Source organism: Homo sapiens, chromosome 4 (genome assembly GCF_000001405.40).
Source record: "Homo sapiens chromosome 4, GRCh38.p14 Primary Assembly".
NCBI lineage: Eukaryota > Metazoa > Chordata > Mammalia > Primates > Hominidae > Homo > Homo sapiens.
Window position 1 is genome coordinate 169,093,197 of NC_000004.12, and position 27,872 is coordinate 169,121,068.

The 27,872-nt window shown below is 41.1% G+C and overlaps 1 protein-coding gene across 1 annotated transcript in view, besides 3 other annotated features; it reads right to left on the reverse strand.

Annotated features, from left to right (window-relative positions):
- Positions 1-1,062: 1,062 nt before the first annotated feature.
- Positions 1,063-27,872, reverse strand: part of SH3RF1 (SH3 domain containing ring finger 1) — a 176,698-nt gene continuing 149,888 nt past the window's right edge. Inside the window, exons 8-12 of the mRNA NM_020870.4 lie at positions 27,623-27,793; positions 24,327-24,586; positions 23,073-23,434; positions 13,651-14,009; positions 1,063-3,491 (exon numbers count right to left, since the gene is read on the reverse strand). Coding sequence (NP_065921.2) covers positions 3,323-3,491; positions 13,651-14,009; positions 23,073-23,434; positions 24,327-24,586; positions 27,623-27,793 — 1,321 coding nt within the window. The 3' untranslated portion in view covers positions 1,063-3,322. The remainder of the gene's footprint in view (positions 3,492-13,650; positions 14,010-23,072; positions 23,435-24,326; positions 24,587-27,622; positions 27,794-27,872) is intronic.
- Positions 5,142-5,261: an enhancer, noted in NCBI's record as "active region_22129". NCBI's record gives its function as "activates an Ori minimal core promoter by ATAC-STARR-seq in GM12878 lymphoblastoid cells {active_cell/tissue: GM12878}" and the evidence as "EXISTENCE:reporter gene assay evidence [ECO:0000049][PMID:35858748]".
- Positions 5,382-5,441: an enhancer, noted in NCBI's record as "active region_22130". NCBI's record gives its function as "activates an Ori minimal core promoter by ATAC-STARR-seq in GM12878 lymphoblastoid cells {active_cell/tissue: GM12878}" and the evidence as "EXISTENCE:reporter gene assay evidence [ECO:0000049][PMID:35858748]".
- Positions 5,722-5,841: an enhancer, noted in NCBI's record as "active region_22131". NCBI's record gives its function as "activates an Ori minimal core promoter by ATAC-STARR-seq in GM12878 lymphoblastoid cells {active_cell/tissue: GM12878}" and the evidence as "EXISTENCE:reporter gene assay evidence [ECO:0000049][PMID:35858748]".

Genomic DNA, 27,872 nt, shown 5'->3' on the forward strand with positions numbered 1-27,872 from the left:
TAAATAGGATGTGACATTGATAATGACATAGTTTGATTCAAAACACATTTTTAAAAATTTGATGAATACACACAAAGAGTTGTTAGTCAAACATCTATTAAACTTAGTCAAACATCTATTAAACTTAGTCAAACATCTATTAAACACAATTTCCAAAGCCGAATTCTAATGTTGTTTATAGCTCTGGATTGAAATATTCAGAGAATTGAATGTTCTTCTGGAGGTATGCAAATATGTTCTATTATAGGAACAGAAAGTTAAATGCATAGCAGTTGGAAACATCACCTTAATTTGTTCCTTCTAAAACCAATCAGACCCTGAAAAGCATTATATCATATACTCCAAGAGAGTGAGATGAATATTTGAAACCAGAGATAAACTTAATGCCACACATTAAAATAGCACTTTTCAAAAACAGTGAGATTATCTCCTTTGCTCCTCATCCTCACCCAGTGGGGTAGATGGGACACCAAAAGGAGGAAACTAAGTAATAATCAACTTGCCCAGGTGGCTACAGAGATAGTTTTTGGAAAAGCTACAATACAACCTAGAATTCCTGATTTTCAATTCTGATAAGTCATTTGACAGTAGCCAAAAGTTAATAAGAAAATAGTTTTTAACATGACTTACATGGGCCTTTCATTTCATGGGAAATTAAAACCATGGTGAATCTAAAGATTTTGTCCCCAAGCCATGCTGAGACTTACGGGTTATCATACTATTGGTTGATAGGTCTGCTTTTCCTTCTATGGCTAAGACAACTAGCACTCACCAGATTATTTTAGTAACTGGAAGAGGAAGAGGGGAACACAAGTGCCATACATGACCTCGTGCGACTCCACAAACTCTTTTTAAGCTTCTTGGAGAAATAAACAAGGTTTGTTAGTTGCAGAGGTAAAATGTGTCATAATCACCAAATTGATTCCTGTAGACATCTTCCGCTTGAGATGTATGCAAAGAATTTTTGTGAGGTACAAATTAGGTCAAATGTGTCCCGTGTTTTTTGTTTTGTTTTGTTTTTTTAAAAAGCAAAATTTTAAGGACTGACACAAGGGACATACAAAGGTTTGAACATCAAATTTTAATCTTGAAACCTTTTATCCAGTCCTCAAATTATTAACATGAAAAGGAGTGATAAATCGCAATTTTATCATTACCATATCACTGTGTAACAAGCCCTTGTTACAAAATCTCCCTCTACTGTCTGCAAAAAACCAATAGAAAACCCATACATTATATTACCTAATGATCTATTAACAGATGAAATTTTAACCAACTTTATACCAGGAAACTATGAACAGAGGTACTTCAATCACATAGCTTAAAATATGGAGAAAAGACAGGTAAAAAAATTATCTTAACCTGTAGTAGTCTTTTTTCTTTTTAAAATTTTTATAAAATACACTAATTTCCCAAAATAAAGAATATTATGACACATTGGTGTCAACTTACACAGATGAAAGCTGATGCCAGCTTTTTCCTAACTAAAGTTCATTTCACCAAACCTTTATATATTACATGAATATCCAAGTAAAGTATTTTTTTTTTAAATTCAACACACAGGAACATAATATACATTGTTTTTTTTTAAAAAAAAGGTTAATTTAGGAATGATTTCATCTTCAACCACATAAAGTATCTTTTTAAGACCATGAAACCTCTTGTCATTGCAAGACTTTTCAGTTCATGTTTCTATTTCCCAGTTTTAATTCTTAAAGGAAAAAAAAAAAGATGAAAGGGTTTATTATGTATTTCCCATGAGAAAACTGTGGTAAGGATCTTATTCATTACCAGGCTGTCTTCCCTCCTTTTGTTTTCCGGACTACCCAGATCCATGACTGCGTGGCACCGTAATGAAATCGGTGGGAGAGGCCAATGACATCAAGGAATGGATATAAAAAGACAGGCTCTTCTGGATCCTGCCACAATTGTAAGGTGTGGGCAAATTCACTCCCACCAAGCCTTCCAGAGCTCCACAGTCACAGGAGTAGTCTCCTGGTTAACTCATCCTTGATGTCTGTCTGCTGGGAGGACATAAAAGACCACTTTCACTAATGACTTGTGTAGTGGCTAATGCATGCCTTAGCCAGAGAGGGAGCGAGTGCACTGAAGAGACCTTGGTCAGTAGTGGCTTTGGGGTAGAGAAGAGAACACTGTTTATTTTTACACCTCCTGAATTGGTCAATTCTGAGTACAAACTCATCTTAACAGGAAATCGCAATGAAATATACACACCATGCACAGTCTATATTACTGTGGGAATCCAGTAATACATGCAAGACGTGGGGAAAGAATCACAATGGATGAATATGAACTTTTCACAGTGTTTCTTATAGCCTTTGACTTAACACGAGTGCATCACTTACCACCACTATCTCACAAATGTTTTACTTGTGTCCTGGGCATGCAGGTCAGTTGGGGTAAAATGTGAAATGACGCTTCATAGCCATTCTCAGACAGTGACTACAACTTCAATTTCCCCTACTTTCCAACCAAACAATTGAGCTGCTTCTGCTATAAAACTAAATATATTTCTAAATACATTTTGTTCAAGGGTTGTGCTGTATTCTTTCTCATTGTTTCAGTCACTTCATTCTAGGAAAATTAAAAACCCACACAATTAAATTGAGGACTAGGTCTTCAGGGTGATTCCTACCAAACTAGAAAGAGAGGGAATCACTAACTTCTCTTCTCTCAAGTTTCTGTCTCTCTACCCCAGGCCCTAATTGATACTGATTCATTTGTATGTTTGGTTTCCCAAAGAAGAAAACCAAATTAGAGAACTGGGATTTCTATCTTAAAGAAGCAAAACATAACCCCAAAATATAATGGTAGCAGGGAGGAGGAGAGGGGAAAATGCATTCACTCTATGTCAAAACGAATCTCTTGCTCTCAACAGGAGATAATCCAGCTTCTCCTTACCTATCATTTCATAAATTAATAATTTCTTAAAATCATAATCCAAAGAACGTATCTATTATACGAAAAGTTCAAGTTTAAAAAAGCAAATAAATTAGTTAAGCCTTGTAAACAATTGTCCATTTTAGTCATATATCTTAAAAAAAAAAAAAAGTTTCTCTGTGTAGTAAATCAGACAGTACAAGGCACACCTTATACATCCGAATCCAGACTAACAAAACCCACACAAACATCTTCTTCATTCTGCTCGCTGGGGTAACTGTGCTGGGGCATCAGAGTCACATACCAATCCTTTGCTCATCTCCTGACCATCTGGAAGTCCACAAATGTGCTCTTTCTGTTAAACTGCTTTGTGCTACTTTGTTGTGTGAAGTGATTTTAAGCTTCTTCAGTGTCAGTCTCCTCATATGTTTTCCACAAAGCTTCCTGGGAAAAGGCCAGTTTTCCCATTACGTTGTAATGTGCCTTTGAACCAGCCATCCTCTCGTTTTTTATGAACAAACACAATATCTCCTTCTTTAAGTTCAAGTTCTGCCTCACTCTGAGGAGGATAGGAAACCACCACCCTGTGCCTAGAAAAGAAAGAGATTTTGGTTAAGGCGATTCAAAGCAGTGATTTTAAAAAATGGTGTACTGTTAGTCTGCACGAACCTTCAACATAAATAGGAAATAACATTAATTCATTTATGATTGTAAAACAACTCAAAATACTGCTATTTTCTGTTTAGTAGAGACTTAGTACTAACAAAGACTGGATTTGGATATGTGTGTCAACCCACTACTGATGGCCCAGACTGGTTCATCTGAGTGACCTTAACAAGGACAGCCATCCTTGTTCCCTACCAGTGTTTGTATCTTGGCCATAAAGGAGAGTTTCATTTCATTTCCCGAGAGGGGTATCATTTCTATCCCTCCCTCTTCTCCAAGGAAACAGGAGTGAATTTATTTGATTGGTGAGACTGGGAGAAGTAGCTGAGCAGGGGGGGTTCAGTCCTCTCTGAACCGCCTGCCCACAGGCTAAGGAGGCTCTGCTCCACCTCTATGTTGTAAGCACACAGAGGTCAGGAAGGTGAGTCTGGAAGTCTGTCTCTGTGTCCCTACGTCCCTTACACTGGTGTTTGACATGGGCGAGGCAGCAATTCTGAGGAAGGTAATCTGCCCCACATACCCAGATTATCCCTTGGGAAGGTAGTCCCAAGGTCCAGACATGGAGGGGAGGGCTATGGCCACAAGTTCAATCCAACATTACCAGTAACGAGGTTGACATTCTCATCTCTATTATTCTGACATTTGGGTCTGTTTCTCCTTGGCTCAGAATTTGGAGTTAGTGGGAAAGGTGTCATTATCGCTTAAAAATGGCAGAAGCTTAGTTGGTTTAATATTATCTGTGCCCCTGCCTCCATGCTCCTTAGCCTTCCTGTGCAGAATTACAGCTTGTAGGAAACGAGAGGGAGGTGACTTGTTTTACACTCTATATCCTTTTATCTTTCTCTATTTTTCCAGCATTATTTGCATTACTCCTCTTCTCAACAAAAGGGGGGAAAAGAATGGTGGTGTATGGTAGCCAACCTCCAAGATGGCCCTAGTGATCCTTGCTTCCTGGTATTCACACTCTTGTGTAGTCTCCTCCTATGATGCACAGGATGACCTGTGTGGCCAATAAAATGTTGCAGAAATGACAGTGGGTGATTTCTGAGGCTAGATCATAAAAGGCATTATGGCTTCCACTTTACTTTCTCTTGGATCGGTCACTCAGGAAAACTGGCTGCCATGTTGTGAGGACACTCAACATCTCTATGGAGAGGAAACACATGGTAAGGCACTGAGGCCTCTTTCCAAAAGCCTAAACTAACCAGAAAAAGTGATGTGAATAAGCCATCTTAGAAGGGGATCCTCCAGCCCCAGTTGAGCATCAGCTCAGGCTGATGTCTTGACTACAATCTCAAGAAATACTCTAAGCCAGAACCAACCAGATGAGCTGTTCCATAATTATGTGACCCACAGAAAGTGTGAAATAATACATGCTTATTATTGTTTTAAGCCACTGACTTTTGGGCGTAACTGGTTACATGGCAACAGATATCTAATAAATACATCTTTCACTGTTTGATGCTAAGTAATGAGTAGTCAGTCATAAAGTTGATTTTGGGTTTCTACTTTCATTTGGTTCTCAAAGTCAGAAAATGAGTGTATAGCCTCGTGGGACCCACTCCTGACTGAAAGTGAAAAATATTATGGCTTCAAAATGATAGGCAGAACAAATTCTATACAACTGTCCCCAAACTTCTGAAACCTATTACAGCCTGCCCCTTTCACCAATTCCCATTCCATATAAACCAAAATCCATTTAAGAAAGACCACAGCAAGAGTCCCAGACTATTACACTAAAAAAACACATCTCTGCAAAAGGTAAGTGGCTGCTTGAACAACCTGAGCTCCTTTGGCACAGGGACCAAATTACTACCCAAGATCTGAAGCAAAAGCACAGCACAGAAGTTGGCTTATCATATCTGAGAAAGGTTCAGCTAATTCAAACATGAATATTCATAGACCACAAGGCTGGGGTTTGATCAAGCATGGAATGAGGAAGGAAGCATGACACAGCGGGAGAAACACTGGCCTAAGGATTGACACAGTCTTTAAGGTCAGTTAGAGCAGCTTAACTTTGGGCCAGTTATCTCAGCTCTCAGTCTGTTTCCTCATCTGTAGAATAGGACTGTAATGAGTTAAACAAGTATGATGCTCTTCGTATGGTGTCTGACAAAGAGTTCAACCTGAAAATATTAGCTCCCATTATGATCATATGGCTTAGACAAGAGTAGGCAGAGGCCTGGCACTTCAAGGAGGTGAAGAATGGGCCAGTCAGTGGCTGGACATCTCTAACTAGGAAACGAACTCAGGCCACAACTCAGGCCTCATTTCCTGAAAATGAGATTTGACAAACTTTAGATCAACACAGTTAGGGTTTTGGAATCCCTTCTTTGATATCTTTATTTTGAGACGGTCTTACTTTGTTGCCCAGGCTGGTGTGCAGTGATGCAATCACAGCTCACTGTAGCCTTGACCTCCCAGGCTTAACTGATCTTCCTACCTCAGCCTTCCGGCTGGGACTACAGGTGTGTGCCACCAAACCTGGTTAATCTTTTTACTTTTTGTAGGGATGGCATCTCACTATATTGCCCAGGCTGGTCTTGAACTCCTTGGCTCAAGCAATCTTCCAGCCTCAGCCCCAGAAAGTGCTGGGATTATAGACATAAGCCGCTATGCCCAGCTCTCTGACACCTTTAAAAGCAAGACAAATAATTTCATCATGAATTTATCTGAAAGAAGGATCCAGATGACATTTCTCAAGTCTAATGTCAACATGCTAAAAATCCATGAAAAAGCAATGATGTAGTTGCCATGTGGGGCAAGTTAAACATTTAAGGCAAAGCTTTATAATTCTGGGAAAAAATGTACAAGTGACTCAAAACATATTCAGAGTAGACTTCTCATGAGATATATTCCCTACTTGTTCTCTGTGAGCTGCCTTAAAGGTGAAATGGAATAAAAATGGTTATTGAAAAACTTGAAGTGAATTAGATTAATATATGCATTTTATAAAATGCACTAAACCAATTTTGTCAAAAAAAAATTTTGAACTAGAACTGCTGCTGGGCTAAGAACATACTCTTCCTGCCAAGTTCCCAGTGGGAGCAAATTTTCATTGCTAAGTTTTATAAACCTCTGGGGGGGCGGGTGGAATGAGAAACTATGTGCATAATGGAAACTGTGACACAGTCTTGATCGTATGAAGACTACCAGGTGCAGGAGTAATAGACTCTACTTAGAAATCTTCCAGCTCAGGTCCTGATCTTGAGCCTTGTGAGGTGGTTTGCAGTTTTCTAATACAGATTTGTAAGGCCAAATACTGGGCATAACTGGCCAACTATTTCAGGCATTGAAAGGCTTTGCCAAGTAGAACATTTACAGACCAACAAACAGATGTAAGGCACAGCTGCAGAGGCCCTTTACATCTGCTGCTCCACCCTCTGCCTCACTCGGATTATGCTTTTCTTTATATGAACAGGGGTTTGGGGAAGTTCTGAACCTCAGGGGTCAATGAATACTCTCCCATGACCTACATGGGACCTGCTGATCTACCTTCAAAATCTGCATCCCATCCACTCCTCTTCATTGTCACTGTCACTATCCTGGTTGATGACTTCATTACCTTCCACCTCGTCAAATATCTTTTTTTTTTAAGACTGAGTTTCGCTCTTGTCACCCAGGCTAGAGTGCAATGGCACGATCTCAGCTCACCACAAACTCCGCCTCCTGGGTTCAAGCAATTTTCCTGCCTCAGCCTCCTGAGTAGCTGGGATTACAGGTGTGTGCCATCATGCCCGACTAATTTTTGTATTTTCAATAGAGACAGGGTTTCAATATATTGGCCAGGCTGGTCTCTAACTCCTGACCTGGTGATCCACCCACCTTGGCCTCCTTCAAGTCTCTTCCTGTCCCCAACCCAGTCTATGCAGAGCTCACATACTAATATTCTTAAGTGGCAACTCTATTTGCAGCTACCCACTGCCAAAAAATCATTAACAGCTTTACAATGCCTGTGAGCAAGGTTAATCCTCAGCCTGGTATGCGAAGCCCTTGGTGATCAGGCCCTAATCTCTTTTTACACAGCTGTAGCTACTACTATCACCACAAAAGTCCCAAACACTCCCCTAAGCCTGAACATGTCCCCTATTCAGGGCCTTTACTTCCCCCACGCCACACCTTGGCTCATGCAGTTCCTTCTAGTGGGAGTCTCCTTTGACGCTATCTCTCCCACCCATACCCTATCACTCTCTCAAAGCCTGGCTCCAGTTCTCCCCTGTGAAATCTCCAGCCCCATGGCTGGAGGCAATTTCATGCTTGACTAAATCGCAGAGGCCTCCATGTATATGTCTTACAGCACTTAGCACAGTCTACAATGTATTATTACCATCTGTGTCCGTCTCGTTTATTCTACCAAACCATAAGCTGCTTGAAGGATGAGATGATGCTAAATTCACTTTATATGCCTCATAGGACTTAGCATAGTACCTTTAATTCTTAATAAGCATGTCAAGTGGCAAAAAGAAAAAGCCTAGTTGTATAGAAAAACTGTTTTTTAAAATGTACAAAGCTCCTTAAAAAGGAATGAAATTCTGACACGTGCTACAACAGGGATGAACCTTGCAAACGTTATGCTAAGTGAAATAAGCTGCATGCACACAGAAGGAAGACTATTGCATGATTCCACTTATGAGATGCCCAGAAGTCACTTACGGGGAGAGAAAGTAGAAGGGTGGTTGCAGGGCCTGGAGGAGGGGGAATGAAGAGTTAGTGCTTAATGAGTACAGATTCAGTTTAGGATGAGAAAAAGTTCTAGAAACGGATAGCAGTGAATGGTTGTATGACAACATGAATGTACTCAATGCCACTGAATTGTACACTTGAAAAAATAGTAAATTTTCATGTATACTTTACCACAATTTAAAAAATAAGATATATGAATGAATAAAATTTTTTGTTTAAAAAAAAGGCAAAAAAAAAAAAAAAAGAAAGGAAAAATGTATAAAGCTGACTGGCACCTTGGTTGGAAAGCACCCCTTGTTCCCTTTGAACAAAGCGCTGTGGAGGCATTATGGGGTGACCAGAGTGGCTCACAGACCGGTCCCTGAATGGCCTCTGCCTCTTGGTGGCTGTGTGACCTTAACTCAACTTTTGGTGATAACTGCCAAGGTACAATTCAAGAAACAGAGTCTTGCAATATAAAGAAGCTCCACAGACTTCCAATGCTATGGTATTTTAACTTCCATCTGAATGGGCATTTACAATCTTTTATTAGTATACATTTCCTGTTTCCTTTATTTTTCTAGCCTCTCTGGTGTTCTCTGTAGTTCATACATTTTCATTTCTAATCGCCCCTGGTATAGCCCAAATTGGCTCCCATGTTGCTCTGGGAGGCACTCAGTTCATCACTCTGACCTGGGTGAGTAACCACTTACTGCTTTCTACCAGTTGCCACAGCAATCTAATATTCAATTAAGTATTTCACTGGCATAACCATACTAGTTCCCTTTGTAGCTTGCTCCAAGTCCAAGTAAATTACGTCCATTGCTTCACCCAGTGGGTTCCTTGTCACTGATTCAAAGAAATTAATCATGCTGGTTAAGCCCAGCTGCCTTTCTGTAAATCTATCTCTATCCAATTTGTATGTTTCCAAGTGTTCTAGCTTAATCCCTGATCAAAGATCATACATAGATTTTTTTTTTTCCCCCAATTTAGGAGATGAGCTTATAGGTATGTGGTTCTCAGTTTAATTCCTACATTTAAAAATACACACAGATAAAGATGACTTGCTGTGTCTCCCTGAACTCTTTATATATATATTTTTTTTCTTTGGAAGAAAAACCTGTCATATACTTTCTTTTATTTGCCATCCCTTCTGAAATATTTTCTTTCCACTTTCTCTTTGCAATTTCCTAATTATTTTTTTCTCAATCCCTCTAAAATAGAGCCTAATATATTTGTTCTATTGTTTCTGCTGTCATCAATTATACATTTTCTGCCTCCAGGATATAGCACTATTTCTTGCTTGTTTTCTTCAGTCTCTCTAACAAACACAGAAGAATCCTTTTGTTCCTAAGAGAATTCTCTCTGCTGACACCAAGACCTGTCAACACACTTCAAGGTTCATCCTTTCTTACTATGAGATTGCTTAAGTCTTTATACCACGTGGTTGCTTCTTTCCATTGACAGCACCGGCTGCCCCAGTCACATTCTTTTTTTTTTTTTTTTTTTTTTTTGAGATGGAGTCTCGCTCTGTCAGGCTGGATGGAGTGCAGTGATGCGACTGTGGCTCACTGCAACCTCCACCTCCCGGGTTCAAGCATTTCTCTGCCTCAGCCTCCCGAGTAGCTGGGATTACAGGTGCCCGCCACCGCGCCTGGCTATTTTTTTTTTTTTTTTTTTTTTTGTATTTTTAGTAGAGATGGGGTTTCACCATCTTGGTCAGGCTGGTCTTGAACTCCTGACCTCGTGATCCACCCACCTTGGCCTCCCAAAGTGCTGGGATTACAGGCATGAGCCACCATGCCTGGCACATTCTTTTACTTTAGATGTATGAGATAGGGTCATGGTTTGAGAGGAAATTTTATGCTTGTTCTCATTATAATCTGTAGATGAATCCTACCTCATAGTGTCCCAATAATATAAATTGAAAAATACTTCTGTGAAATTCTACCAGTCAGTAGAATTTTTACCAAAGGAACCCTGGGCTCCTTCTGCATTTTGCCAGGGCAAGAGTTGTTGATGCTTGTATTGTAAATCAAGGATTATTCTTAGATTCTGAAATGTTTTCTCAATCATACTGATATAAAAGTTAATCTTTCCTTCATTTTCAGCATTGAGCACTTTTTATTGTGTTGAAATGTTTAAAATATGAACACAAGTAATCCCTAAATTCTATACTTGGTGGCTTTTAATTAATCAAAAACTTTCATTCCCAGTGAATAATATAACATTTTCCTATATGTTACCGCACATTTTTCCTGTTATTTTTACTGTGAGACAGATCTAAGAATCCAAGGTAAATAAATACTATCACCATCACTGTATGAAAGCAAAGGCTGTGGAAAGTTGGTCAGATTGGCTATTATATTTAATATTCCATTGAACATATGGATTATAAAAATATAAACTTGGGTAGAAATCTTCTCCAAAGACCCCTTTCCCACTTGTAAAAATTTAAATGGTTATACAAAAAAACCTATCAAAGAATTCCAGCATGCCCAGGCCCATCTGTCCTGTCATTACATTCTCCATGTTCCCTATCTGATGTGCATCCCCCGCTCCCTGAAATGCCATCACCTGTCTGAGCTAGCAATTCCTTCTTTTCAGATGAACTGAACAGCAGGAGCCTGCTGTTAGAAAGGAGCCCCTCTAAGAGGAAGGGACCGGAATGCAGAAGCCGTAGAGACTGAGGACATCTGGCAACTGAAAAGGAATGCACTGGGGGAGGGAGGCTGCAGTGCCCATGCCAGTGCCTAGGGAGAGTCTGGGCAAAGTGAACCATCACTCAAAAGAGTCACACAAATACCACAAATGAGAGGGAACACAGGAGAGATGCCCTCAGGGCTTGAAGGAAAACTGCAGATCAATGCCTGGAGGGAGGGAGGGAGGCTTTGTGACCAAGAGAAAGCAAACAAGTAACTGGACCAACTCCAGGGACAGAAGGTGCTATCCCTGGAAAGCAGACCAATACAGCAGGAAAAAGGTTGACTCTTAGAGTAAGAGATTCAGTGAATTCTGGACAAAATTTCAAAGCTTTACTAAGAGCACAACAGATGAGAGGAAAGATAAAATGATTTCATTTGTAGGGAGAGAACACTTTTTTAGGGTAATGGCTCATTTTAAAACTGGTTTTAGGGGGTTAGAACTATAGAAAATTATTGTACAGCACTATAAAAATAAATATCATAAATTGTGGCTGGGCTCCATGGCTCATGCCTGTAATCCCAGCACTTTGAGAGGCCGAGGCAGGTGAATTGCCTGAGCTCAGGAGTTCGAGACCACCCTGGCCAAGATGGCAAAACCCCATCTCTACTGAAAATACAAAAAAATTAGCCGGGCGTGGTGTGTGCCTGCAATCCCAGCTACTCAGAAAGCAGAGGCAGGAGAATCACTTGAACCCGGGAAATGGAGGTTGCAGTGAGCCAAGATTGCACCACTGCACTCCAGCCTGGGCAACAGAGTGAGACTCCCATCTCAAAAAAAAAAAAAAAAAATCATAAATTGTGAGCTTTGCACTTAATGTAAGTAGGTTTGAAATTTATTCTTTTCCATTTTTCCCAGTTTATTTTTAAGTTAAAAAGTGTGCCAAAAATATGAATGCAGGCCTCAGGTTTTGGTGGATACAAATATACATATGGCTTCATCTGAAATACAGAGGTAAGGTGAATTTAAGGCATTTAAAAACATAACACTTTATAGTAAGATTTCAAGTCGGCAACATAGAAAATGCTACCAAAAAAGCAATACCTCCACAAAGCAGAAATTTGCTTTATTTATGAAATGCAGGCACAGAGGAAATGAAGCTTACAGAAACAATAAAACAGATGACACTTAAGACAAATACTATATATTTATATAAGATATAAAAAGAGTCCACTATTTTGAGTATACTTCATGATGCTTTCCTATGTAATGAATAGTGCCTCATTGTTGAGTTTAAATAATCCTGGTAGCTATTTGTCTCATTAAATAATATATTTTCTTTCCTAACACATTCCTAGAACCCCAGTGGGGTATCAAACAGAACTGCTCCCTTTTGTAATAATTATTCAAGGCTGGAATCACTAAAACAGGGCTTATTACTCTGAGTGTAACTGAATCAAGTCACTTGGTCAGGAGGAGAGTCAGAACTGAGACTGAGAACTTAGCCATACCCTTCTGGCTCAGGAAGAAGAAGAGAGTTCTTCGCTAGACATCGTGGCTCACGCCTGTAATCGCAGCATTTTGGGAGGCTGGGGCAGGAGAATGGCTTGAGTTCAGGAGTTCAAGACTAGCCTGGGCAACATGGGAGACCCCGTCTTTACAAAAAAATTAGCTGGGAATGGTGGCACATGCTTGTGGTCCCAGCCACTCAGGAAGCTGAGGTGGGAGGATCACTTGAGCCCAGGATGTTGAGGCTTCAGTGAGCTGTGATTGCACCACTGCACTGAAGCCTGCGCAACAGAGCAAGACCCTGTCTCAAAAAAAGAAGAGAGTTCTCTTAGCTGACAGAATTCTCTAATTCAAGCTTGTCCAACCCGTGGGCATGCAGTGCAACACAAAATTCATAAACTTTCTTAAAATATTGTGAATTTTTTTTGCAATTTTTTTTTAGCTCATCAGCTATAATTAATGTTAGTGTGTATATATATGTAATGTAAAATATTTTTTAACAGTATATATGTGTGTGTGTATATATATTTATTATTATTATTATTATTATTTTGAGATGGAGTCCTGCTCTGTCACCCAGGCTGGAGTGCAGCGGCATGATCTCCACTCACTGCAACCTCTGCCTCCTGGGTTCAAGCGATTCTCCTGCCTCAGCTTCCCAAGTAGCTGGGATTACAGGGACTCGCCACCACGTCTATTTCTTTGTATTTTAGTAGAGACAGGGTTTTACCATGTTGCTGGGATTACAGGCATGAGCCACCGTGCCTGGCCATATGAGTATATTTTCAGTGTGGCCCAAGACAATTCTTCCTTCAGTGTGGCCCAGGGAAGCCAAAAGATTGGACATACCTGCTCTAGTTGCTTCACAACTAGCAGGAAACGATGTAAATTTTTAATAAAAAAGGCAAAAAATTAAAAAAAAAAAAGACAGCAATTAGTGGCAACGGAATAGAAATAAGAAAGAAGTAAATCCATGAACAGTTTCCCAGTGATTGACAGTTTTTACCTGGACACAATTCAGGCGTGGCAGAGTAGAGAAAATAAAGGAAAAGGAAGGCTGGGGACCAACCCATTAAGAAACACGGAAGGAAAAAGGAAAACAGAGTATGTCATGTCAAGTGGGAAAAGAAATTCAGTGCTTATTTTCATAAGCTCAGTTTCAAAACATTTAGGAAGATGTGGCAAAACATCTTAAATATCACAATAATGTTCCAGCCTAAAGCCTATTGTTCATTTTTTAGTTTTTTCCTGGAACGAAGTTGAACTTACCTTTCACAAACGACAGGTCTAGACTCATTCAAGACAGGACCCAGGGAGGAACAGGCCTGGCGAGGAGGTGGAGCGATGGGAACTGCGGAGTCCAGGGAACTTGCCTTCCTATGAAAAGCATCCTGGGCCAGGGCTGCTCCTGCCACTGCAGTCGTGACCGGTCCGTCCCCGTCCACAGGGCAGGAGCCTGCCCTGCCATGGCCACCTCCTGGTGGCAGTTCGGGCCCCACCGCTCCCTGGAGAGGAAGCTCTGCACTGCCCAGCTCCACTTCTAGGGTGGGCGATGCTGGAGGAGACACGCGGGGCTTCCGTTTAGTGGAGGCGCCAGAAAGCAACTTCAACAAACCCTTTTTTTCTTTCTGGAAAAAAAAAATAATGAGCCTTAGTTGGAGAATGACAGTACTATTGCTGGTGTAATCTAAAGGGCCCTATAGTTCATTACTACTTTTTAATTTTTAATTTTAATTTTTGTGGGTCCATAGTAGGTATATGGGGCCTTATGGTTTCAATGTTCGGTTTGATCTTTTTACATTATTTCTGTTGATAACTGGTTATTCATAATCTGGCCACCAAGTTTTGTGTGGTGCTAACCTGACCTTTTGCTTCTCCTCCTTCTCCCTTTCTGCTATATATTTTTTTGTTTGGTTTTGGACATTCCGTTGAAGTAGGATAAACCGATAAAAAAGATGTAAGACAATAAAACTCACCCAACTCACATCCCAGGTTTGGTAAAAGCATTAGTAGATATTTTAGGATAAAATGGAAATTTCAGATTATGGATTTAATTTCCTGAACTTCTGCCTATCCTATCTCTAATTACTGTAAGAGAGCTGACTATGCAGAATTAAATGTAAACCTGACAGCACTCTATTCCACAGGCATGGACGTGAGCCTTATCATTTACAGGCAGTGATCAGAGTTAAGAGCTAAACCACTTCTCACATGTCGCCACCTTGATTAAATGTAACAAGCCAATAAAACAGAAGTCAAACCACATCTCCCTTGCAAGTACCTCCTTGATTAGACATCCATTTTAAGGAAAGCTTCAGTATATTTATAAACAAGTTGATTTCTCTTTTTGCAAGCAAATATACAAATAAGCGTGTTTTTGTTTGTTTGTTTGTTTGTTTTTTCAACTATTTCAATTCCACAGAAGCCATCTCTTGAATTTTTGTCTCTTGATACTTTCTCTCTTTGGTCTGCTAGGAAAATCAGATGTCAAGAGAGTGCTCCTTCATTCTGAAACCTTAAGCGTGAATGTTCTTTCTGATGACCAAGCTTAACATGATCCTTTTAAATTGTTTTACCAAGATGTCAACTACATCATTAAGTTCTCTGAATGGAAGCACTGCTTGAAAATGAAACACTTCATAGAGAACTATTTCTTTAGAAAATTCTGTAGGCAAATTGGAATTATTAAGGCCCACTAACAGGGAAACAGAAATTATAAGGGACCTGCTGAGGAATTTTTCTTGGGAATAATAGCTTAGGCTCAGTAAAAACTCCTTGGGAAAATGAATCTAAATCCCTAACAACATTGTTCCATTAGAGACAGTATGGCAGAAAAAAGGAGACAAAAGCAACATTTATCAGACTATGAGGAAGCATCCCAGGGACAGTGCACCATAGTCCCCAGTTACCTAACGCTGCTCAAGGACATGTGAACCTATGGGCTAGAAATGGGAAGAGAGGGTGGGAGTGGGTGCTAAGGTCATTTCTGTACTTGCTTGACCTGGGCTATAGATGAGCAGAGCCAGCTGATCCCCACCACCCTGCAACTCTCCCGGGTAGAGGAAGATCCTTTTGCATTTCTCTTTATAGCCTGTCCTCAGCTGATCTTATGCGCTTTCGCTTCACTCATTCAATGCCACATTTTCCGTGGGGCTACTGTGTGCATTCTAATGAATGTCCTCACAAACTTGGACTGCCTGCATAAGTGCAGTGGCAGTGCTGTATATACCTCTCTATCTCACCCAGTGCCTAGTGCAGGGCCCTACACCTACTAAAGCTTAGAGGCTGAGAAAATACTGGAAGAGGATGAAACCAGTGGAAGGAAGGAAAAATATAGCTAGTGCCAGGCCTAAGGAAATAAAGGATATGTTGGATTCCCCAGATCCAGAGGCAATAAAGCCTTTCAATGAGCCTTTCAATAAAGCCTATAGTCAATGAAGTGGTCTGACTAAACACCTGCCACTGCTGCTCTGTACTTATTGTAGACAGCCTGAGGTCTGGAAGGCCAAGAGATGACATGCAAAAGAATAATGTCCAGTAGCTTCCACTTCTAAGGTAGCAGTCAGCTGCAACTTCCAGCTATTCTTGCCATGATGTAAGAAAGCACACACTAGTCCACGGACCCCCAAAGGTCCAGTGAGAACATCAAGTCCATTGATAAATTACAATCTCAGCAAGCCACAGCTAAAGCTGTTTCTTAAAAGCTCAGTTCTGAGCACTCAGTAAAATATCAGATAACTCAACGGCACTCAGGGAACAGCCTCTAAAGTGATTAAGAAGAAAGATGACTTAATTCATCTAAAATGATTAAACACATTAAATACAGCTTGCTTTAATGACTTCTAAGGGATGTCTTATCATCATCAACTGATGCTGACTACCCACAGAACAGAAGGCAGAGGATTAGGAATCATGGCAGGGCACAAGGGGTAAGGGGTGGGAGGTGGTAATACAGAAAAGATGCTGTCCTAGTTCCAAGGAACCATGCTTTCAATGGCATATTCTGATTTTTTCTATGTTAGCAGAAGAATGTTCCACTTGAGAGAGATCATTTTGCAAACTCAGACACTTAGCATCTATGAGCACCATTATTTTTTCAAAAACCAACAGCAGAAATGAAAACTAAATGAATTAATAAAGACTACATTCAGGCTGGGCACAGTGGCTCACACCTGTAATTCTAGCACTTTGGGAGGCTGAGGCAGGAGGATCACTTGAGCCCAGGAGTTCAAGACCAGCCTGGGCAACATAGGGAAACCCTGTCTCTACAAAAATAAAAAAATTAGCCAGGTGTGGTGGTGCATGCCTGTGGTCCCATCTACTCCGGAGCCTGAGGTGGGAGGGAGGGTTGCTTGAGCCTGGAGGTTGAAGTTGCAGTGAGCTATGACCATGCCACTGCACTCCAGCCTGGGTGATAGAGGGATACCCTGTAGCAAAACAAAACAATACAAAAAAAAAAAAAACCACCTGGGAGGAGGAAGAAAAATCATTTGAACAAAGAAAATGAACGTTAGAGGCCGGGCACAGTGGCTTACACCTGTAATCCCAGCACTTTGGGAGGCCAAGGCGGCAGGATTGCTTGAGCCCAGGAGTTGAGAGCAGCCTGGGCAACATAGCAAGACCCCATCTCTACCAAAAAAAAATTACCTAGGTATGGTGGCTCATGCCTTTAGTCCCAGCTGGGAGGATCACTTAAGACCAGGAGTTCAGGCTGCAGTGAGGTATGATTGCACCACTGCACTCCAGCCTGGGTGACAGAGTGAGACCTCGTTTAAAAAAATAATAATAAAATAAAAGAAGAAAGAAAGAAAATGATCAGTAGAGACTTCAAGAAAAATGTTCAGAAAATAAAATGAATATTTAAAAACCAGATAGGACCTCTGCTTAAGAAAATCAAGAATAATAAGCCAGGTGCCGTGGTGTGAACCTGTAGTCCCAGGTGCTTGGGAGGCTGAGGTGGAAGGATTGCTTGAGTCCAGGAGTTCAAGGCTAGCTTGGGCAACATGATAAGACCCTATCTCTTAAAATAAGCAAATAAATAAATGAATAAAAGAACAATAGGAAAGGTCCTAAAACACTGAAGAAAATCTGTGGTTGACTCCTTAAGGGAGAGTCATTGGGAATTTGGGGGCGGGGGATTTGAGACACTAAATGTTGACCTTATGTGGCCCACCTGTAGGAATGCTGGCTTTTAGGAATGGATCTAGGATATGGCAGAGTGCATGTTGACCAACACCCACTTCTGCTGACTCATATGGAATTAATGTCAATGTCAGGCGAGACTTACAAAGCACCTCTAGAGATTCTGAAGTTATGCGTAGAAAATGGAAGCACTTGGGTCGATACCAGCATCAGAGGTGGTTCCTCCTCTTTTTCTAAAGCAAGGGTTAGAACTTAGAGAACTTAAGAACAATTACACAATTGTACTAATCAAAAATTTTTTTTTCAGACCAGGCGCAGTGGCTCATGCCTATAATCCCAGCACTTTGGGAGGCCGAGGCAGGGGGATCACTTGAGGCCAGGAGTTCAGGACCACCAACATGGTGAAACCCTGTCTCTACTAAAAACACAAAAGTTAGCTGGGTATGGTGGTGCATGCCTGTAGTCCCACTACTTGGGAGGCTGAGGTGGGAGGATTACTTGAACCCAGGAGGTAGAGGCTGCAGTGAGTCGAGATCACACCACTGCACTCCAACCTGGGTGATCTAGTTCTGTCACCCAGGCTGGAGTGCAGTGGCATTAACATAGCTCACTGTAGCCTTGACCTCCTGGGCTCAAGCCATCCTCCCACCTCAGCCTCCCAAGTAGCTAGGACTACAGGCACATACCACCATGCCCAGCTAATTAAAAATAATTTTTTTTTTTTTGGTAGAGATAGGGTTTTGCTAAGTTGCTGAGGGTGATCTTGTACTTCTGGCCTCAAGTGATCTGCCCACCCTGGTCTCCCAAACTTTTGGGATTATAGGTGTGAGCCACTGTGCCCAGCCTTAATCTTTTTATAACAACAAAACACAATAAAACATATATACATATACATAAGTATCTCCCAAAGATTTGGAGACACATTTTCCTGGAGATTAGTTGATCAAATAATGAAGACTTTGAACTGAATATGAAGTTAGCAGTATGTCCAGATAAAGTTGTTATACTGATGACGGTGGAAAACATTAGGGATCTCATAGAAGGAAGAATAACAATGGTAGAAAAGGTCTAGGATTTCAAACAGGAAAGAATTGAGATGAAACATAGAGTTTCAGATGCCTGTTTATCAAACCACGGAGTGCAGACACCAAAGTTAGCTAGAGATTTTAACACAAGGACAAAAATGCAATGTCTAGAGATCCCTGAGACTTTGCACAACAGGACTTCCAAATAAAATACTGTTCAAAGGAGTAGCCGGTTAGAAGAGAAGCTGCGACAGTCCCATCTGTACATTACAAAATTATATTTCTCTGTGGAACAGCAGCAGTAACCCACTGCAGAGCAGCTGGGTACAGAGAAAAGGAGGGGGCAATAGACACGCTATCATGTGGGAGATGTACCATGGACTGCTGGTAGGTTTAAGTAAATGGATGATGATGCTCACAAAATGACGAGGAAAGATAGAAATAATGAGGGCGTTATCAAATACCTAGATATCTGCTGTAAGTCTCAACTGAAACTAGGATCTCTAATACACTTTTTCCTTGCTGATAGTTTAATCTCACAGAAAGTTGAGCAAACTGCAACTTTGGATCCAATTCTGATCAACTAGAGGGAGGGCAGAAACCAGACGGGTGGAGATGCTCTGCTGATGAAGCAGAAATATTGAGAACTTGGAATAAAGCATGGAAAAAGAGGCTGATGATAGTCAGGTTTGAACTTCATAGTTTAAAAGAACTGATTTTTAAATGTTCAAAGAAAATATATGCATGACCTGAAACCCAAAAGGGAAGATGCTTCAAGAGGAATAGGAAGGCTCTCAAAAATGAAATTCTAACCATACAATTGCAAATCATCCCTGCAGATGAAAACATAGAGGCATCTAAAGGTACTGATGTGATCTCCCAGGGAGCAGCCTAATGGCTCAAATTTTTAAAGGGCACGTACAAAAAGATCAAGAGAAGAGCCCATAACAAAGAACATAACGTGGCCCATAGCAATTCAAGAAGGCTTAAAGATCAGAATGAGCTTAAACTTGCAAAAATGCTAAAGACAAAAAAAAATTTTGTAAGAGCTCTTTTAAAGTTATGTTTGAAACAAGAAGAACAAGAAAGACACAGACCCGCTGTGGAGGATGGTGGTTCTTGGATGGCAAGAAGAAAGGGAAGGATAATCTTCAGACTGGAGGGGAAGAACAAACTTTGACGAGAGGGAAATGAGTGAAGAGTTGGGATTTAGAGATCAAATGATTACTCTTAACAGGCTGAATTCACTCCAGGGTACAGAGAAAAATAGCAGAAGAAATGCAACCAATAACCTTTGATAATCTGGTGAATCTGGGATGAGGGTCAACTGAACAGGCAAGGAAAGGCATGTGCAAGTCCCAGTTTTCTTTTTTTTTTCCCCCCTGAGACAGAGTCTCACTCTGTTGCCCAGGCTGGAGTGCAGTGGTGTGATCTCGGCTCACTGCAACCTCCGACTCCCTGGTTCAAGTGATTCTCCAGCTTCAGCCTCCTGAGTAGCTGGGATTACAGGCATGTGCCACCACACCCAGCTAATTTTTGTATTTTTAGTAGAGACAGGGTTTCACTATGTTGGCCAGGCTGGTCTCAACTCCTGACCTCAGGTGATACACCAGCTTTGGCCTCCCAAAGTGCTGGGATTACAGGTGTAAGCCACCGCGCCCGGCCCCAATTTTCAAACACATGACACCAAAGCACTTTGCAGACCATCTGGGAAATTCTAAAACAGTATTAAACAAAAGATTTATGAACATTTAGAAAGGGAAATAAAACTCTTCCAGGAGACACTCGCTAACAATAAGTCACAGCAGAAATGATGGAGCAATGGGGAGAACTCTGTGGATGGGAGGATGATGTAAAAGGCAGGTGAATCTCAATGTGGCATCTGGTGAGTTCTCCCAGGACATCCTTGTAGATGTGATGGAGAAATGTATACTAAAGACACTCTAGTCATGAAGATTCATGATTAAGTGACAACAATCATGGAATTACTAAATTTATATCAACCAGAAGTCTCTTTAGTGGACTTGGAACACTAAATGAGGTAGGAGATTTAATAAGGGAAAATTTGAAATCTGTGATATGAGGAATAGGAAAAGAAAACTTCAAGGGTATAGCATTAGAGAAAAGACACAAGGGGACACACCTGCAAATACCTCAGGGCACCATGTAGAAAGGAGATCTGCATTTTCTATGTGGGCCCTCAAAATAAAGAACAACGGTTGGAAGGTTGAGTTGAGTTACAGCTGTCTGAAGATGGCACAGGGCAGTCTTGGGCTAGGGCACTGCTTGGTCAATGGGGCACGCACCTAGGCAGAAGCCATGGTCATTTGTCAGGGATGGGTGCTCCACAGGATGACCAGTAAGGACCTGTACTAGATGGTGCCGTAACAGGTTAACTCAAACTTTGTGGTAAAAATCGGGTCCTAAAATCAAGGTGTGGCAGGGCTGGTTCCTTCTGGAGGCCACTGGGGAAGAATCTGTTCCCTTGTCTTTTCCAGATTCTAGAGGCTTCCTGTATTCCTTGACCTGTGGTCTCATTTCCCTATCATTCCTACCTCTGCTTCACCATCACGTCTCCTTCTCTGGCCCTAAGCTTCCTGCCTCCCTTTTAAGAACATCCTTGAGTTTACACTGGGCCCACCTGGATAATTCAGGCTAACCACCTTGTCAAAAGGCTATTAATTTAATAAAACCTGCAAGGTCCTTTTGGCCATGTAATGAAACATCTTTAAAAGTTCCAGGGATCAGGAGGTGGACATCCTTGGGGAGTCACTATTCTGTCTATCACAAGTACCTTTCAAGCCTTAGAGATTTAGTGAATTCTACATTGGAAGGGCCCAGCTGAAGAGTCCCTGTTCTTATCAGTGGCAAGGGCTCTGAGACACATTGTCATCAAGCCTTAAAATCTAAACCATAAAAATAATTATTTATAAATATATTAACAAAGTTGAACATGTTGGCTTGAGTGCAAGTTTAATGTAGTTAATTATAAACACTGAACAAATATCAATCTTTTTCAAAAACTCTCATGTTAACCGAACAATTAAATATTAACTTTTTAGTAGGCCATAAAGTTTATTTCCTTATAAACTGCTGTTTACAGGCTCCCTTAACCATTTAAATAGAACGACATACATTACCACTTAACCAGGTGGCTAAAAGTCTATGATCGCCCTCAAACTTCCCAGAACTGGTATAGAACTTCAGGGGAAATGTGTAAAATATTGAGGAAAAAGTAATAATGACAATAAAATTATCCAGATCCGTTACCATCTCTTCTTTTTCTTTTTACATTTAACAACTCTCAATTTCTCTTGCCTCCAATCACCTGTCTCTAAACCCAACCATCGGTTATTCTTTCCAATATAACTTTCCATTTATATTTTCTTTAAAATTCAGCCCCAAATGAGACATTAAAAAAAACCCCAAAAACTATGGATTTAGAAAATAATGTTTCCTTATATTTCAAGTCTTACCTCTCAAGGAACCATGCTGCTTAAGGTCAGATGTACTGGGCCATGGACCAGTACTAGCCTGTGGCCTGTGAGGAACCAGGCCGCACAGCAGGAGGTGAGCTGCAGGTGAGTGAGTGAGGCTTCATCTGTATTTACAGCCGCTCCCCATCACTTGCATTACTGCCTGAGCTCCGCCTCCTGTCAGATCAGCAGGGGCATTAGATTCTCATAGGAGCATGAACCCTATTGTGAACTGCACATGCGAGGGATGTAGGTTGCACACTCCTTATGAGAATCTAATGCCTGAGGATCTGTCACTGTCTGCCATCATGCCCAGGTGGGACCATCTAGTTGCAAGAAAACAAACTCAGGGCTCCCACTAATTCTACATTATGGTGAGTTCTATAATGATTTCATTATATAGTACACTGTAATAATAATAGAAATAAAGTGCACAGTTAATGTAATGAGCTTGAATCATTCTGAAACCATTTCCCCGCCACCACCCCTGGGTCCATGGAAAATCTGTCTTCAACGAAACTGGTCCATGGTGCCCAGGTGCCCAGAAGGTTGGGGACCACTGTTGTAGATAAAATAAATCCATAAGTAACACTTTTGATCAACAGTTTCATCCCCCTCACACATATATATTTTTAACAGAACTCTTATCAAGCAAGACTCACTGAGCAGGAAGACTTGAGGACAGCAAAATGATGAAAGAATGAGTAACTAAAGGGAAAAGGAAATTCCTCCACGAGACTGTAAGCTGCACAAGGAGGAGTGACTAAGTCTCATTCACTGTGGTCCCTCTAACATGCAGCACTGAGTCTGGCAAGTAGTGGGCGTTTAAACACAGAGAAACATGAGCTCTAGATAAGAGGATGGGGTGGTGCCTGCGTTTCTTCCCCACTCTACTCCTAGCACCTGGCATAGTGACTCACACGTAGGGAGCACCTGAGGGTTTGTTGAACAGTGAGTCCTCTCATTAGCTAAAAATGACAGACACAACATAAGAAGAAAAACAGGGAAGTAAGTAAAGCAGAGAAACAGTAAGTAAGTATGGTCTTACTTTGCTATCCTTGTCTGGTTTGGTTGCTGAACTGTTCCCACAAGCTGATGAAGCACTGTCAGGAGATGTGGGGAGTCCAGGGAGAACGGTCACTATCCGGCCACTGGGCTCAGCCTCCAGAGAAGCACTGGTGATGCTTGGGGAAGTCAGTGGAGCAGCTGCTGCACAGGCCAGAGGGGCACTGGCTCGACTGATACTGATGGCAGCAGTGTGCGTGGCTGAGCCTGGCATCAGAGGCGCAGGTTGTGGGGAGGCCAGCGAGTGATGGGACAGGCCCACAGATGCAGGGCTGAGGCCGGCGGCATTCTGTACCTGGATGGGTGTCACTGCTGCCGTGGGGCGTTCCTGGTTGTGCGCTGCAACTAGTAGATGGGAAGAGGGAACACAGCAAAATTCAACTATCTAATAGATGCTGCTCACCAAAACATGAGTCATTTCACTGCATCAGACCATGATGAAAGGCTGCTATTGTATTTATTACAATAAAGATGGGATGGACGGTGGCCTAAAAGCACTTAATCTTAGCTGGATCCCCAGACACTATCTATTGTCCTTCCAGGTCAGCCCTTGAGTCTACTGAGTGCCTGGAAGCTCAGTTTTGACCCAAGTCCCTTTACTTAGGAGACAGCCTCTCCACAGTGTTAGAGACACTGAGCCAGTTCTTGATGGTATTCTACAGTGTCAAGCGATGTCTCCCTCTAGTCCTTTTCCTATTATTCATTCCCTTTTCTTATGAATCATTTTCCTTTTTTCTGTTTTTCTGATAGAGTTCACAAGCCTTTAGTTTACCCCTCATCCCATTAGTTACCCAAGACTCTTGGGAAGGTTTTCAGTGCTACAGAACTAAGAAAGCTGTTTAAGATCCCATAGGGTCCAAGGTAGACTTGTGCTTAAGTTAATCAGAAATGATCAGCACACCCGTTAGTAGAGTATCACGCAATGTCACATGGATGGTAGTAGTGAGATTTGAGATCATATGATCTCAACTATAGAAGTCAAAATTTCAAGTACTATTGACATTCTTAGGATCAGCCTAATTTCTTTCAGACTTTAGATCTATCCATCAGGCTTGAAGTAATACGCAGGGCACGCTTAGCCCAAATAAGCAGATACAAGGTGCCACTGAGTAGACTTTGCCTAATGTTGTTCATTATTAAAATTACATCTACATTTCTCAACATCTGTCATAAAAGATCTACTATTAGGCAGGTAAGCCCTTTATCCTGATATGTTCTGGCCTGGGTTCCTCCTTACCTGTCCTCACAGCATTGCGGGCCTGGTTGACTGTCATTTGCCCCGTCATGTGCAACAAGACCTTAGCCTGAGGACTTGTCTGGATGTGAGCTGCTGATACCACAGCTGCGGGGACAACACTGGGACTCCCAGCCACGCCATTTCCCTGGAGCTTCTGGGCAGGCCCTCCTGCCGTGGAAGGACTGACCATGGTCACTCCCCGACTTGTCTGGCCAGCTGTAGACATAGGGACTTTAGCTTGGGAAGCATTTGTCACCGCCCTGCCAAGACACAAACATAGATGGAAAGCCCAGTCCATCAGCAAAATGACAGAAAGAACAATTAAATGCAAGAAAAATGACTCAGAGCTTTAAACATAGAACATTTTAAAAAATGAATGGAATTATTTTTATAAAGTTTAAGAATAGAAAATTCAACGTAATGATGGCTGAGACAGAGAAAGGTCTTGAAATATATTCTGAGTCACCAGAAACCACACGTCATACTCTGCTCAAGAATATACAGTTATTGCATTCAGCTTTCCATAACAAGACCAAATATCTCCACTGACTTTCAAGGCCCTGGATTCTCCCCCTTCATCTACAGAACAAGCTAGGATCATTCCCTGACAATATCCCCATTTCCATATCTTTGCTCCTGTTTCCTGGCTTCCTACTTGCCTCCAGCTCCACATCACACATGTGCCCATGTACATGCATGCACACACATACACGCACTAGTGGAAAGTCCTCTCCGTCTTCTCTTGACATATTGTAATCTCATTTATGTTTCAAGATCCAGCATGAACACTGTCAGTTCAAGAAGCCTTGCCTCAGATTCAGGTTTAAGATCTTATGATTCTATTGTTTCATGTGGATTTCTTCTTTCATTCTGTTTCTAAACTCCACAATTGTTTATGCTTTGGCCCTTGATTACAAAATGTGGTATATTATTATTAGTAGTAGTAGTATTTTTTTTGAGACAGAGTCTCACTGTTGCCCAGGCTGGAGTGGAGTGGTGCGATCTCAGCTCACCCCTCTGCCTCTCAGGTTCAAGTGATTCTCCTGTCTAAGCCTCCCGAGTAGCTGGGAGTACAGGCACGCGCCACCATGCCCGGCTACTTTTTTGTATTTTTAGTAGAGGTGGGGTTTCACCATGTTGGCCAGGCTGGTCTCGAACTCCTGACCTCAGGTGATCCACCCGCCTCAGCCTCCCAAAGTGCTGGGATTACAGGTTTGAGCCAACGCGCCTAGCTGGTGTATTATTTTTTAAATAAATTCTTTATCAAATACTGCTGACTTGGTAAGTTCCTTGAAAGCAGGGCCAGTGTGAAATAACTCTCCTGTATTCATCCTGTATTTGCACATGCTCAGGGTTACAGCCAACTCTAAACATCTATTTACTCACTGAATGTAATTAAGTTCAGTATAGTTTTGTGTAATGTGTTTTTTTCCATATTCCAAATTCATTTAAATGATAACAATTCTGTATATAGTAACTTTCTACTAAGAAAACACTTCATTAGCTTGAACATCCTTATTATTTACCATGAATGACAGAATTTACTGTAAGCACATATTCCTCTAGAGTTAAACAAACAGATAGATTTTTTTTTTCCTTAGGATGGAGTCTTGCTCTGCCGCCCAGGCTGGAGTGCAGTGGCATGATCTCGGCTCACTGCAGCCTCCGCCTCCCAGGTTCAAGTGATTATCCTGCCTCAACCTCCAAAGTAGCTGGGTCTACAGGCACGTGCCACCATGCCTGGCTAATTTTTGTATTTTTTTTTTTTTTTTTTTTTTTTTTAGTAGAGATGGGGTTTCACCATGTTGGTCAGGCCTCAAGTGATCAACTCCTGACCTCAAGTGATCTGCCCACCTTGGCCTCCTGAAGTGCTGGGATTACAGGCGTGAGCCACTGCACCCGGCTATACAAGCAGAGAGACTTCTAATAATTGGTTTTTGATAAAGATGTTTGACAAAAAAATTTTTATAAAAATGTTTTCCTTCATTAACTTTATTTTTTTGTTCTTTGTTGCATTTCTCTTATCCATTATTATCATTATTTTGCACCAGGGAGGTTCTATCTGTCATTTTCTGGATGGGATGGATTCTGAATGTAGATTTTAACATACATAGAAAAGAATGTTTATATTGATTAAAAATTTGCAAGTCAAATTAAAGTTAACATTCTGTCACCATCTGCAACAACAGTGATTTTCATTTGATTAGGCTGCTGGCCAACCTATAAATCAAGGCCAACAGCTGACAAACATGTCAGTTCATTAAGCTATTTGTTTAAAATCAGGCGGTTTGAGGAAAGATTTAATGCAGTTAGACCTGGACTGTATATTAAACGGCCGGTGGTCAAAAACTAGGGCTCCCTCAGTGTTGATTTCATTACAGGTCATTTAACTGTTTCCAAGGCTTCTTTCCTCAGTGACCAAAAGCTGAACTATCTTTACATAAAATATATAAAATTTTGCATATCTAAAGCTCCTGTCACTCTATAACAGGGTTTCTCAACCTCAGTGACATTTTAGGCCAGATTATGATTATTTTTTGTGGGAGGCTGTCCTATGCATAGGATGTTTCACTCTTAGCCTCTATCCACTAAAGCCAGTAGCACCCCTAACCTCTAGTCGTGACAATCAAAAATATTTCTGGATATTGTCAAATGTTCCCTGGGGAGCAAAACTGCCCTCAGTTGAGAAGGATCTATGCTATACTTAAAATTTTTATTTCTGACTATATTATAGAATTCATTGTCAGAATTCAGAGGTAATTACCAAGTTAATGAAATAAATATAAATCTAGATCACCAGGGTTTGAGTTTGAGCACTTCTTCACTATGTGATCTCAGACAAGCTGTATGATATCTCTGTGCCTCAATGTAACAGCAACTAAGAAGTAAGGTTAATCAGTGTAATGCATTTATAAATCTGCCTGCCTGGCATATAGTACGCATTATATAAACACATAAGTATTAATAATATAGCTTTTCTTTGTATCAACACTATGCCTTTTCTAGTAGAAAAATACTGAAAATGGTGTTGTTGAACCTTCTCCCATTAAAGCAAATAACTTAAAACCCAGTACATTTACTGGTAGAAACCTATAATTTCACATATATCCATGTGAAAATAAGCTAAAAATTTTAGAGTTAGAAGGGATTTTAGCAGATGTAGACATGGATTTTTAAAACCTTGGCTATGTAACAGGCAATTATAATGTGAAAGGAATCTGGATAGGCTGAAAACCATGGAAAAGAACAAAGCTTCTCTGTTTAGAACATAGTAAACAATGTATTCAAAACCATACCTTGTGACTGGTGCCACATAATTGCCAGGGAAAACCCCTATCTTGCTGGTATGCATGGATGTCCCTTTGAACCAGCCATCCTGGCAGCGCTCAAACACTAAAAACATCTCCCCTTTTCTCAGCTCTAGTTCATCCTCTTTCCGAGGAGTGTATGGATATATAGCAACATACCTAGAATAGAAAATAATATTTGATTTCAGGTTGAGTAACAGACAAATCCCAAGATGCTCAAAATTCTTCCTTGGTACAA